This window comes from Homo sapiens, chromosome 8 (genome assembly GCF_000001405.40).
Source record: "Homo sapiens chromosome 8, GRCh38.p14 Primary Assembly".
NCBI classification, from domain to species: Eukaryota; Metazoa; Chordata; class Mammalia; order Primates; family Hominidae; genus Homo; species Homo sapiens.
This window is the reverse complement of record NC_000008.11, coordinates 29,895,241-29,910,236: the sequence shown is the minus strand read 5'-3', so window position 1 is coordinate 29,910,236 and position 14,996 is coordinate 29,895,241. Positions and strand designations below refer to the sequence as shown.

At 41.7% G+C, this 14,996-nt stretch overlaps 1 annotated feature.

The window, feature by feature from the left end:
• Positions 4,608 to 4,777: an enhancer, noted in NCBI's record as "experimental_103076 CRE fragment used in MPRA reporter constructs". NCBI's record gives its function as "activates a minimal promoter by MPRAs in K562 erythroleukemia cells, with activity observed for the non-introgressed 8:29763061 variant allele {active_cell/tissue: K562}" and the evidence as "EXISTENCE:reporter gene assay evidence [ECO:0000049][PMID:34662402]".

Below are 14,996 nucleotides of genomic sequence, written 5' to 3'. Positions count from 1 at the left end.
ACTTAGTCTTAATCTCACAGCAGTGTGTAGCAGGATGGTGAGTATTGTCCTAGGTATGCATGCATAGGATAGCCTTGTTCCCTGTTCATTCTTGGCTAGTTGGCAGCTGCAGTGATTCAGCCTGAATTCAGCCTGAGATTAGGGCACAGCCCAGTGTTAAACTCTCAAAATGGTGCCTTGGGGCTGAGACCAGAAAGGGCAAGCTCCCTTCAAGCAAGCAGCATGGGCAAGAAGCTGTGGGGAGTGCAATCCACTCACGTCTCAGTCTCAACAGCAGCCTGCAGCAGGGCAGTAGGGACCCTTCCAGGGGTGCATGGAAGTGCCTGGTCTCCCCTGTCTCTCCTTGGAGCAATGCAATGGCAGCAGCCATGTCTGTAGATCTCTGGTATCTAGGTCTCAAAATGGCACCAAGGTGAGGCTGTGTGGATGACTGTGAGATTCCATGTGGGTTCCCTTTATGGAGCAACATCTCTGTGCAATTGTTAGGCAGCTCTATATGTCAAACACAAGGGCTTAGTGGGTCAAGGGTTTTCTCCATAGCCAAGATTGTAAAAGCCAAGACCTGGGAGTTTCTCTTTTACTGTTTCCCTGAATCCAGGAGCCTCTCCTGACTCTCAATCAGTCCCCAGTTGGGAAAGCTGTCTCAAACCCTCTCCTTACTTACTTCTGGTGCTTCTTGTCTCTTCTCTGGTGAACCCTAGATGATCTCTTCGAAATGTCAGTATCTTCTGGTTCCTCTCCATGGAAGAGGCACATGCTACCTGTTAATAGTGAGCCATTTGGATATCTCTCTCTACTTCACCTTGCTGAGACTTGTAACAGGGAGAAAAATAATAAGGGCTACCTGAACAAAACATGTAAAACAAATAGCAAAGTAAATCCTCTCTGGGTTAATGTCATGGAAAACTGGGAAAATATTTCAGACTCTCTCCACTACATCTCAAAGCCTGTAGGCATTATTGGGCAGCACTGAAAAAACAGAATGAGAAATTTCATTTAGTAAGAAACCAGTGTGCCCTTCCTAGAGTGCTGGTGGGATGGTCTCCTATGGAGGCCACTGGCAGCTTTCCCTCAGCTTTAAGAACTGTGAGAAGCCAGGTAAATGAACACCTTGAATAGAAAGCAGGCAGGCATCTTGCATATTGTTTTAATTTGCCATTCAACAATGTTCCTGGACAGAATTGTTTGTTCCCTTCTGGATTCAGGGGTGGGTGTTTGATTTCACTGTGTCTGTGTTTCATGACAGATTCTGAGTCCCCAGAACCAGCATCTAAACTGGACTCTGGACTCTGCAGACTTTGGATCTGCTGGCCTCCACAACTGTGTGATCCAATTCCTTAAAATCAATCAATCTTTCTTTCTTTCTTTCTTTCTTTCTTTCTTTCTTTCTTTCTTTCTTTCTTTCTTTTCTTTCTTTCTCTTTCTCTTTTCTTTTCCTTCCTTCCTTCCTTCCTGTCTCTCTCTCTCCCTCCCTTCCTTCCTTCTCTCTCTTCCTTCCCTCTCTCTCTTTCTCTCTTTCCTTTCTTTCTTTCTTTCTTTCTTTCTTTCTTTCTTTTCTTTCTTTTCCTTCCTTCCTTCCTTCCTTCCTTCCTTCCTTCCTTCCTTCCTTCCCGAAGCAGGAGAATTGCTTGAACCCAGGAGGCAGAGGTTGCAGTGAGCTGAGGTTGCGTCACTGTACTCCAGCCTGGCAACAGAGCGAGACTCTGTCTCAAAAAAAAAAAAAAAAAAAAAATTCAGAATTAACTTTCCAGAGACAGGATTGTAGTAGAAAGAGGGCATATGTAAGTGGTAAAAATATTAATGGCTTTTATGATGGTGATAATAATTGTATTACTTAGGCAAAAAAAGTAAGAATTTTGGGATGTACCATGCTTTAATAAGAGTCTTTGAGACAGACCTACGTGAATCTTTCTGAGCAAAGAATTACAATAAAATAAAACAAACATCCCTATTTTCTGAGTGAAAGGAAAAGAGAAAAGGCTGAATTAGCTTCTCATTGCATCCAAGTACCCCTTAAGCAGTTTTTGTCAAGCATCTGCAAGTTGACATAAGGTTGATCCGTTCAATCTGGTTCTAAATTGTTCTGTTAAATGCTAGACAACTTTTGTCACAGAAGCTGCCCCCACCTCCTTCAGGATGATTGTCTATAATTAAGGAGGAAACCAGAAAATAATGATAGGGTTCTCTTTTGCCTTTCTAATGGCTTTCTTATTAAGCATGTCTGAAAAAGCTACTGAGATGTTGATTTCCTACATAACCAAAAGAAGTCAGCCATTATATAATTACTTCTTTTTAAAAACTACAAAGGGAAATGTGTCACAAATGCTTTCAATGGGCTAAAGACACCATGAAGCACAATGAAAAAAAAATTCTCCCCAAGAACAAAAAAGCAGCGAATAAATTAGTCATTAAAGAAATGTTTTTGGGAACTCTTCTGAGGTGCCACTTGCATATCACCCATGGGGTGATCTTTGAGATTTGATTGTGGCAGGAAAAGCAAAACAGGAAGCAGGGAATGTGGAAGAGGGCAGTGGGGCTGTGGGTGGTATAATGCTATTTGTGCCTTTTAATGGTAAAAATAGTCCTCACATTTTCTTTATTGGAGGAGATTAAGTTCCTCATAGACTGAGACTTGATGTGGATCCCTGGTGTCATTGCTTGGAAAGTGGCAAGGTCCATGTTCCCAGTGCCCCTTGACTACCAGCTTAATTCCTACACTGAGCACTCAAGGGACAGTGACAAATACCTGGTAGGAGGGATTCTCTTCTCCCTTTGCTGCCTTCTTTGCTCTCCCTTTTTCTTCCCCCCAGACAGAATAAAGAGAGAGACTGTTAGGATAATTAGCCATCAAAGTCGCTCAGTGAAAGCGGGCCAATATTAGAAGAACATGGTTTGTCTGTCTTATGGAAGTTTATTCTGTAGTGTGGAGAGGCCTATAGAATCCACAGGTTATTTTAGGCCAACGCCACACACTATAAATGGCTGGGGATTCATCTCCAAATTCTGCTGTAATTTCCTCTCTGGTGACCTGGGCTTCTCTTCAAGTCTTCTTCCTCTAGAATCCCACTGAGTGCTTTCAGGTTGGGGCTGACTCCATGCTAAGTAAAGGAGAGGTGATCAAGAACAGCTTTTGTGCTGACCCAATATACACATCACCCTTTTATATAGCAGCTCCATTTTGTTCTTGGAGTTCGTTTTATGCTTTACTTGTAATGAGCTGCTCCTCTTTGAAGGTGGGCTGATGAACAGGTGAAAATAAGCTTGGAATGGTATCAAGAAGTGAGAGTGTGTGGCTAGTGATTGTCTTGAAACATCTTGTTAGCATCTCAGATCACAATGTCATGGAAAGAGCCTGGACTGAGAGACCTGGATTTTAGTCCTAGGACAAGCCATTAAACCCCCTCGAATCTCAATTTCTTCATCCATGAAATGAGAGGGGGGAGGATTAAATTTTTTAATATTTTAAATTTCTTGCAATTAAAAGTAGTTTGCATGAATTACCTGTGTCAATTATATAATAATAGGATATTAGAATCAGAATAACATGTAGAGGTGACTAGAGATCCTAATGTCCTGTGCAATAAAGTTATTTTCTTTGCAATATCCCTAATAGGTGATCATCCAACATTAATTTGAATATTCCTGGTACAAAGAGCACATTGCCTCAGAAGTGAGCCATTTCAATTTTTTAAACAACCCAATTATATGGCAAAATATGCATCCTTGTCATATTTAGTCATTGGTCTAATTCTTGCTGTTCTAGGGGCCCTGTTTGTGATGGTTAATTTTATATATGAACTTGACTAGGCCAGGTACCCAGATATTTGGTCAAACACCACTCTAGATGTTGCTGTGAAGGTATTTTTAGAAGAGATCAACACTTACATCAGTAGATTTTGAGTAATGCAGGTTACCCCCTCATAATGTGGGTGGGCCTCATCCAAACAGTTGAAGGCCTTAGGAAAATACAGACAGATCCCTCAAGGAACAGGGAACTCTGCCTTAAGACAGTCCTCAGACTCTAGCTGTAAAGTTAACTCTTCCCTGGGTCTCCGGCTCACTGGCCTACCCTGAAAACTTTAGACTTTTGGCCTCTATAATTGTGTGATTCAATTCCTGAAAAATAAATCTGTATGTATGTATGTATCTATCTATCTCTCTATGACTATCATCTCCTACTGGCTGTGTTTCTCTGGAAAACCCTGATTAAAGCACCTACTATAATACTACAATACTACCTACTGCAATACAATACTACGATACATCAGGCCTTCAAATATTTGAAGAAAGTATTCATATCAGCCCATGTGAAGTTGGGTCCTGAGAATAGGTGGTTTAATGGAGCTTTTTCTAGGCAAAGAAAAGCAAAACTTACCTCTGGATTCGTGGGTCGTGGGGATACGGGCAACAACAAAATGCCAAGAGATAAATGAGAAAATAAAGAATGCAAAGTGCTGAAGGTGTTAGCAGAAAGCTTTGCACCTACCAGATCCTCCTTTAATGAGAGCTGTTACAATGAATAAAGACATGCCAAGGCCAGGACAGAAAAACAGTCATCCCCACCTGTGTCCTCTAACATTTGTAGAGTTTGTTGGGCTATCACAATATTTGCTTTCACGCTTGGGAGATAATTGGCACTTAGCTGTTACAGCAGCAGCAGTAAGGGGAAAAAACACACACACATGGGGAAGGGGGTAGGTCTGGTTTTCATCTGCTGGATCCGGCACATGCCTATGTGAATGAAAAATAACAGCTATGGATGGCTCAGTGCCTGGACATCTGTCGTCACCCTGTCTGTTAGCTGCGCTTTCTTCCTTAACCATGAATGAGGTGACTGTGGAGGGAATGGAAAATCTTTGCAATGTGGGAGCCAAGGACAGTGTTCCTGAGGCAGCGCTGAAATTTGCTGCAGTCTGATTCTTTGCGTGGGAGCTTACTGTTGAATGCTTGTACTAGGAAGGAGAGCTGTGGCTGCTTTTCCTCGGGCTCCCGTGATGGGCTTCTCTGGCCCCAGTTGAATCTGCGGTACCAACACTCTGAGAATCTTACAGAAACAGAATGGAAATAAACATCTTACGGGCCCACCAACCAAGCATAACTGTTTTTAGTTTTTTTTTTTTTCAGTTTTCACCCACCTGCCAACATCCTTCAGCGTAATTATAATCAGTGTGTGAATAGAATTTTTGTATAATATATATTGTTTTCACTTAAAATTTTATGATAAACATGTTCTTACATTGTTTCTCTTCATCAGCACTATTTTATAGTTGTGGTATTATTTCAGAGCGGATGTACCGTGGTTAAGTTCACCCTCCCTCATTGTTAAACATTTCCAATACTTGTTATAAAAAACCCAACAATGAATAACTTTTTGGGTATAGCTTCTTTCCTCTTTTGAATAACTTCCTTCAGCATTTCCAGAGAATGAGTCAAGGGATGTGAGTATTTTTATGTCTTGATATAGATCACTGTATTGTTTCCCAAAAGGGTTTGTATTGGTATAAATTACCAAAAACAAGGTGCAAATAAGTCACTCTGCCAGAATGTTCCCAGATTGGGTATTAATTATAGTGAATATAAAATGATATGATAGTGTAGTTTTATTTTCATTTTTTAAAAAATTAACAAAGGTAATCTTTTTTTGTGTATTATTTCCCAATTACATTTCTTCTTGTGTGTATTGTTTGTGCCTGCTATGGTCTATTGGGGTACTGATTTTTACAAATTAATTTGAATGAGCTTTTCCCATGTTAGAATCAATAGAAATATTTTTCAAATCTATTATTTTAATTTTTAGTTTTATTATTTCTTTTTGTGTAAAGGGTGAATTTTTTATCTTAATGGGCTTTCCAATTGTTTTCATTGTCTTACTAAGAAAAACCCTTTAATCAACCCTGTGTTATCTTGTTTTTTGTTTTCATCTGTGACTTGAACTTGGTAGAATATTGCCTAATTTCTGAGAACATTTTGATATTCAAGTTTAGTTCTGGTTCAAAATGGTTCTGGTTCCTCCAAACACAGTCAACCAACAACAAAAAATTCAAAAATAAGCTTTGGCTCATTTTATTATTCAGAATATGCAATTAATAGTTCCATTTCTGCATGGAAGTATGGTTCATTCCTATTTTTTTGTTAAAGTCCTTGAATAGCTTTAGTATCTTTCATATGTGCTCCATATGTATTCTCTACTGGGGGAAAAAGCCTTTGAAGGCAGGGTTTATGTACTCAATTTACTTGGTATGATGCCCTCTCCTCAGTCGGAGTAATTTTTAGCTTGTATGTCTTCCTGGCTGTGTTGCCTGGGATGCCCTTTACCCTGGTTACCATCTGGATCAAGGCCTGTCATGAGCAACCATTGGTGTAAGGCTTATATTCTGACCAGTTGGTTTGTGGCTTGCCTGCCTCCCTCCCACATAGCAGCTGTGAGGTTGGACAGGAACTCTGTCGTCATTTGGTGGGCTTGCATATGGCTCTCCTCTGCTCTCTCTTCTGGGTTAAGGCCAAGACCCTGCCATTCATAGGAGAGGCTGTGGTTAATTTGCAAGTGGGATCCAGAACGGGAGGCTGAGAAACTGTCCTATGGTGAACTGGCTCACCATAGCTCTTTAATAAGTGGTGTTTGATCATTTATTGACAATCTGGAGATTCTTTTATGGCTTAGCCTGGAGGCTGCCTGAGAATGGAAGCCATCCTCATGGGGTTAACAGGAATTCTGGACAGACACAGAATTATCATTAAGCATTAATTAGTCTGCACTTTGACCCACTTCCTTGTAACCAAAAGTCACTAGATACTGACTGTTTGCATCCCCATTGTTCCTATAGATAGGATCACTGATGTTAGCATCATAAGACTTTGGTTTAAGAATTGATTAAGATGTTTTTCAGTTCTTGAATTCCAGGGAGACAACTGATGTCAATCAATTTGAAGACCCCCACAGGGGAACGAATGGAATCAGCATGAGAATACAGTTTCTTCTTTTCTCTCTCTTGACTTCACCATGCACTCTTTGACCAATCAATGATCTCCAAGCTTCAGCCCATTCCAGACCCCTCACAAACCCTAGCCCAAAACTCCTCAGGGAGATGAATTTGAGGTTCCCTGCCATATCCTCATTTGGTGGTCCTGTGAGTAAACCTTTTCCTCTGCTGTCCCAGTGTCTCAACATATTGACTTGCTGCAGACATTGGGCAACAGACCTCTTATCGTAACAGAACCCAACAGTACAAGGATAGAGCAAGGCAGAAGGAGCTGTAGCTCAGACTGAGAACAGGTTCCCCAGATAGTTCAGCAGGTCAGGTTAAAGTGTCCAGAGACTGTAGCCAGCAAGGGCCCAGCCCAGGCTGGAGGTTGTACCCAACACCTGGTGGGTGAAGACAAAGTCTCTGGGTTCTTTGGTGTAAAATTACATCTTTGACAGACAAGTTACTGACTTATGGTTCTTGGCTCTGGGAAATGAGGACAAAGAACATCTAGATGAAGGATGATTCAAGGTACTGTAATCGTCTGACAGGGTTGATTTTCTCGTGGAGTATCTTAATGGTGTTCTCTGTATTTCCTGAATTTCCATGTTGGCCTGTCTTGCTAGGTTGGGGAAGTTCTCCTGGATAATATCCTGAAGTGTGTTTTCCATCTTATTTCCACTTTTCCCGTCGCCTTCTACTCCAATCAATCGTAGGTTCGGTCTTTTTATGAAGTCCTGTATTTCTTGGAGGCTTTGTTTATTCCTTTTCATTCTTTTTTCTCTATTCTTGTCTGCATGTCTTATTTCAGTAAGGTGGTCTTCAGACTCTGATATCCTTCTGCTTGGTCGATTTGGCTGTTGATACTTGTGTATGCAAGTTCTTGTGCTGTGTTTTTCAGCTCCATCAGGTCATTTATGTTCCTCTCTAAACTGGCTATTGTAGTTAGCAATTCCTCTGATCTTTTATCAAGGTTCGTAGCTTCTTTGCATTGGGTTAGAACATGCTCCTTTAGCTCATCGTAGTTTTTTTATTACCCATCTTCTGAAGCCTACCTCTGTCAGTTCATCCATCTGATCCTCTGTCCAGTCCTGCACCCTTGATGGAGAGACGTTGTGATCATTTGGAGGAGAAGAGGCACTCTAGCCTTTTGGGTTTTCAGCATTTTTTCATTGATTCTTTCTCATCTTCGTGAGTTGGTCTAGTTTCGGTCTTTGAGGCTGCTGACCTTTGGATGGGGTTTTTGTGGGGGCTTTGTTGTTGTTGTTGATGCTGTTGTTGTCACTTTCTGATTGTTTTTCTTTCAATAGTCAGGTCCCTCTTCTGTAGGGATGCTGCAGTTTGCTGGGGCTTTACTTCAGGCCCTATTCATTTGTTTTGCTCTCATGCCTTGAGATGTCATTTAAGGAGTCACCTCCCTTGGCTGTGGGGAGGGGCTTCCCCTTCCCTGCGTGGCTCTCAGGTGGGCCACCACACCACACTGTTCTTCCTTCTGGGTCATGCCAGCCTTCTAGTCAATTTTGATGACAGAACCTGGATAACTTGGTTGCTGGTGAATGATTTACACACTTATTGTGGTTTTTTTGATGGGAACCTCCAATCACTGCTGCTTCTTGTTGGCCATCTTGGTCTCGCCCCCTACAGTATTTGTTTTATAGTAGCAGGAACAGAATGAGATGGGGTCTTGCCCTGCTTCTCTGCCATGGAGTCTGTCTTGCTCATCTGCTCAGTAGAACTTTTTTTTTTTTTTTTTTTTTTTTTTTAGCAGAGACTGTGACTCACTCCTGGGGAAACATTTCAGCTCTGGGCTTCCTAGAGGAGGCTTCAAGACCTGCTCTTTTTCCTAGACTGGATTTTATGTACCTTCTATTACTCACACAATATTCTGCATATTTTTTGCTTTCTTTCTTTCTTTTTTTTTTTGTTTTTAGACAGAGTCCTGCTATGTCACTCATGCTGGGCTGCAGGGACACAGTCTTGGCTCACTGCAACCTTTGCCTCCTAGGCTCAAGCCATCCTCCCACCTCAACCTCTTGAGTAGCTGGGACCACAGATGTGTGCCACCATGCCTGGCTAATGTTTTTGTATTTTTGGTAGAGATGAGGTTTCACCATGTTGTCCAGGTTGGTCTCGAACTCCTGAGCACAAATGATCCACCTGCCTCGGCCTCCCAAAGTGCTGGGATTACAGGTGTGAGCCACTATGCCCAGCCCTTTGCAGATTTCTAACATCATTCTTAACACAGTTCTTATCATCATCATGATCATCATCATGATCTAGTTTTCAGAGCAATGTTTATATACTATTTCTAATATACAAGAAAAGCAGAAAAATAATATATCATATACCAATGTACTTGCCATTTAGATTTTCCAAATGTTAATATTCTTTTTATTAGGATTTATAAAGGAATAAAACATTACAAATACAGCTGAAGTCCCGCCTTTCCATCACATTCTCCTCCCTCTGTCTTTGGGCAGAAGTAAGCTAATAATAATTCAGGATGTTAATCTCTGGAGTGTGTGTTCTTGGAGTGCAGCACTATATCTTATTCATCTGGAATTTTTAGCTAATAGCAGTGCCTGACCCTAGAAGAGATAAATAAATATTCAGACAATTAAAGAATAAATGAATGAAAGGGATTGTTTTTATAATAATAATAAAAATTGTTATCCTTTGCCATATCTAATAGGGGCTCTGTAAATGTTTGATGAGTTTGGGAATTAATAAAAAAGTTTTGGTCTCTTACTGAGAATAATTTGCCCTTAGCTCTTAAAAAAAACTCATGTTTTGGCATCTTTAGACTTTGTGTACAATGTAATTTTTAGGCTTCATATGCAAAATATGCAATATAGAAACATGATCTACCTTAAGAAACTTACAAGGCATGTAGAATTAATTTCAGACGCAAGAAAGAAAAGATGTGTGATTGCATGAGATGTATTAAGAAAGAAGTCAACTAAATTAATGTCACTAGAAACTCTTCACATTTGATTTGAGTGGAAAATATTCTAGATCACCAGTTCACAGAAGCTGTTGTCAGGAAATGCCAGCCCCAATAACCTGATGCACATGGAGGTAACACACACACACACACACACACACACACACACACCCTCTGTTCATTTGTGTCTCTTCTTCACTGTGCAGGTCCATGAAATCTCCTGGGGACTGTGAAGAACTGGGATGGCTAGTGTGAAAAACAGCAGTCCCCAACAATTTTGGTACCAGGGACTGGTTTCATGGAAGACAATTTTTCCATGGACCTAGGCACGGGGTGGGGGTGTGGGGATGGATTGGGGATGATTCAAGTGCATTACATTTATTGTGCACTTTATTTCTATTATTGCATTGTAATATATGATGAAATAATTATACAACTCATCATAATGTAGAATCAGTGGAAGCCCTGAGCTTGTTTTCCTGCAACTAGATGGTCCCATCTGAGGGTGATGAGAGATAGTGATAGATTATCAGGCATTAGATTCTCATAAGGAGTGCACAATCTAGATCCCTCATATACACAGTTCACAATAGGGTTTGTGCTCCTATGAGAATTTAATGCAACCATTGATCTGACAGGAGGTAGAGCTCAGGTGATAAAGCAAGTGATGGGAGCAGCTGTAAATACAGATGAAGTTTTGCCCCCTTTCCTGCCATTCACCTCCTGCTGTGCTGCCTAGTTCCTAACAGGCCACAGACTGGTACTGGTTTGTGGCCTGGGGGTTGAAGACCCCTGGTGTAGAAGAACTAGAATTTTAGCTCTTGTTATAAGAAGCTTCTCATGGTAAGTTAATACAACCAACCACCCAGCAGGCACATTTTTTTTTTTTCCTGTGGGACACTAGCAATCTCTTCCATGTTTCCATGTCTTCTTAACCACCTGTTTCCTTGATGGAAGGATATTGATGTTTCCACACAGATTTGGAGTAAAAAGCTTGGTTTTATTCATTTTCCCCTCTGAATTAGGGAAGCTTTTCAAAATGAACATACTGAACAGCAAATTATCATCCCATTAAGCGCTTAAAATTATAGGCAGCTGAGCCAAACCTGCTACCAGCCCCCGCCACCCCTTCCCTGGATACAGTCTAACAAGCCAGCTACAAATTCCAGATGATCAATTTGCTTAGCTGTGATGGTAATTTAGAAACCCAGTGTTTTGCTTCAAAGTCATTGAGAGGCAATCTCGAATGATAGGCTGTGCTTCATGCACTCTTTGGCAAGAAATTTACTTGGGCTCTCGTGTGCTTCTTGGTTGGGTGTCCAGCAGTTCTGGGCATCAGAAAGGAGCCCTGCACCATTGGTTACTGCTGCACCATGGAATGACTTTCTGGTTCTCCTGCTGCTTGCACCACCACCACATTTTCCCTAGATATAGTTTCTCCATATGAACTGCAATTGTTTTCCAGTACTTTTTTGCACAAGTCAAGTGGCCATGACAAGTAGGGTGCGTGCTCATATCTGTTAACTCCTTAATTTAATTAATCCATTCAATGCTTGCTGAGCACCTTGTATGTTTTGGGCATTGTGCTGAGTGCTGAGGATTAAAAGTTGGGTCAGAAACAGTCACTGCCCGCAAGGAGCCCACAGTCTAGCAAGAAAGAGAGACATATAATGAAAGGATGGCAATGCACTGGCCTATCCTGGAAACAGAGACAAGGTGCCACCATGAGATCTGTATTGATCAAGTATGTTCTAAAGAACATAAGGCACTTTTCCAAGAGTCATATTTCTTCTATCCTCCCCAGTTGGTAGGGCTGTGTAATTGTTGTCTGCAAAGGTTAAATGAAAGCCCATTGATATAGTTTCGCTGTGTCCCCACCAAATCTCATCTTGAATTGTAGTTCCCACAATTCCCACATGCCATGGGAGGGACCTAGTGGGAGGTAATTGAATCATGGGAGCAGGTCTTTCCCATGCTGTTCTCATGATGGTGAATAAGTCTCATGAGATCTGATGGTTTTATAAAGAGGAGTTCCCCTGCACAAGCTGTCTCTTGCCTGCTGCCATGTAAGACATGCCTTTTGCCTTCCACCATGATTGTGAGACCTTCCCAGCCACGTGGAACTATGATTCCATTAAACCTTTTATTCTTTATAAATTACCCAGTCTCAGGTATGTCTTTATCAGCAGCGTGAGAATGGACTAATGCAGCCATACATGATAGAATGAGTCTCCAGAAATTCCAATTTCCCAGTATTCTCTGTATGCTCCCCTACATAGTAGACTCCAAATGAATTGGATTCACTCACCATCCCCCAAAGACACATTGCCCTGCCTTTCTTCTGTTCATGCTCTTGTCTCTGCCTGGAATGCCTCCTTCCTGTTGCTGTGTTTAGAAATCTTGGCAGTACTTCAAGGCCAGGCCCACTTTGCTCCAAGTTCCTGGAGTACTTGGTGCTATTTAGAGTAAGGAGCATGGAGCACGTGGCCGTGCCTGAGTGCTTTAGGTTCAGCTGAGTCCCCATTGTGGACTGTGAACATCACAGGGGCTCACAGTCCCTTGGAGAACATAAAGTGCCCCCATACAATTTTCAGTAACCACTTGTTCACTGAATAGGAACGTTTCAATATCAAGGATAGAAAACTCAGCTTTGATTTTCCTGGCTGAGCTGTTACCAGGAAATTCCCTAGACTCACAGTTTGAATCTCATCACCCCTAAAGTGAGGAGTATTTACAAGCCTAATGACAGAGTTTCATTATCTGGAGACAAGACCTGGAGGGAGATAAAAAAGCTTTGTTTCTATGTTCTGTTTTCTTAGGGTAGAAACATTCCAAATAATTTTATGCCAGGCCAGAAAAGAAAGCTTTGTATTAAATATGGAGGACCTGCCTCCAAACAGAGGTGTTGACTCTGATCTAAAGTCACAGACATTGCTGTGGAAATTTTCTTGTTACCAGCTTTGTGCAGCCGTGGTTGGAGGGTCATTCTATCAGCCCAAGGGGGTTCCAGTCCCGCAGCTTGTCAGGAGATGCTGGTGAGTGGAAACAGAATCCTTCATCCTACAAATCACAGATGTGATCTTGACGGTCACGTTGGTTGGAGTCTTGAGATGCAGGTCCTCAATACCTATTAACCTCACCAGGATATGGTAACCTTTGTCTTCTTTGTCATTTTCATAGTTAACGTGGTAACAATGTTTGATAAATGACAATGAGGAGTTAATTCCATTGTGGCATTGAAAGGGAATACACATGGTTTTTAGCTTGAGAGTCCTACAACTTAACAGAAAAAGACAAGAAAAGCGCACATTCCAAAGGCATGAAGACAAAGAACAGACACCCCTAATTCCATATGGTTTGGATGCTCTGCATTTTGCTCCTGGCTATGCCAGGTAGTCACTCAGGTTGGTGGGGTCTCGGTGCCTGGGACACCCACCAATAACCATTTCTGTCTGGTCCTATGATGGTGTTAGATTCTGCAGATAGTCCTGGTTCTGAGAATACCAAAGGGATCAAAACACAGTAAGTAGTCCAAGCCAGTATTGTTGATTCCAAGAAATCACTTGGTTAATTGTATTGGCATTTATAGGACATATCGAAGAGCTGGAAGTAATGTAAGTGACGTGGATATCTGGGTGATGGCAAGTATGATGGGTGGGGATATTGACTATGTTAGGTTGGATGATCTCATAGCCTGATTTTAGGATGATGGTCCTGGTTCATGTGGAAGATATATGAAAGGTTAGAGCAAAAGTCTACTGAAGGCCAGGGGCAGTAGCTCATGCCTGTAATCCCAGCACTTTGGGAGGCCGAGGTGGGTGGACCACCTGAGGTCAGGATTTCGAGACCAGCCTGGCCAACATGGTGAAACCCATCTCTACTAAAAATACAAAAATTGGCCAGGCATGGTGGTTGGCGCCTGTAATCCCAGCTACTCAGGAGGCTGAGGCAGGAGAATCGCTTGAACTCGGGAGGCAGAGGTTGCAGTGAGCAGAGATCATGCCATTGCACTCCACCCTGGGCAATAGAGCAAAACTCCATCTCAAAAAAAAAAAAGTCCTCTGATGTAAGGCTCAAAGCATGAGGTCCAGGATTCTAGGCAAGGAGGTTAGGAGTCAGCTTCTGGGTCGATGACTAGAGAGATTCTTCTCAGGTTTCACTGAGGCAGTGAACTTCAGCAGGGTTTTGGAAGAGAAAGGAGCACTTCTTTATTGAGAGGATGAATGTATGTGAAACAAGGGAAGATGGTGAATGATTTCTATCTGCTAACTGAGCAGACTGGTCCAGGACGCTACTCTGTCCTTCTGGGGAAAATCTGAAACATAACCCTTGGTGTCTTACAAACCCTGGAGAAGTCAATGTGTAGGGTGGCACTGTCAACCTAAGAAATGGGCAGTTGCCTCTCATTTTAAAACCACCATCAGGATTATTTATTTGGCTTCCTTGGCAGTCAGAGAGAGTTGGCAGCTAACTCCCTTGGCTTGGCAGAGTCATGAGGCAGTCTTGAAAATCTGTTGCATTTTAAAAATTGTATTGGAAATTCTGAGATATTTTAATCAGTTTAGAATCAATCCACCTCAGAAAAAGAGGATGCAAGTTTGAAAACCATGCCAGTGTAGCTTTTTAATAGCTAATTATGCTATAGGCAGGGAAATGGTCAGGCAGTGACTCTTAGAATGAATAATGACATTAGATGAAATACAAAACAAATCCATACAGGTTTTATTGGATTGGAAGTAAGAGACAGAGAGAGGCTGAAAATTTACCCAAATCTGATTAGGGAAATAAAACCTCAGACAGAAAAATGATGGATGGTGTGAGCTGTTTAATTTGGGTCCCTTAGAGAGGTAATGTCCTCAGAGAATACACCACAGAGTTTCAGAGCTGAAGGGAGTTCAGGCATTTAATCCAGATGCTCATTTTTACAGAAGAGAAAACTGAGGCTTAAAGGAACAAACAACGTGACCAAGGTCTTACCAGCTGATAAGGGACAGAGTTTAATTTTTTTTTTCTTTTTTTTTTTTGAGACAGGGTTACACTCTGTCACCCAGGCTGGAGTGCAGTGGTGCCATCTCGGCTCACTACAACCT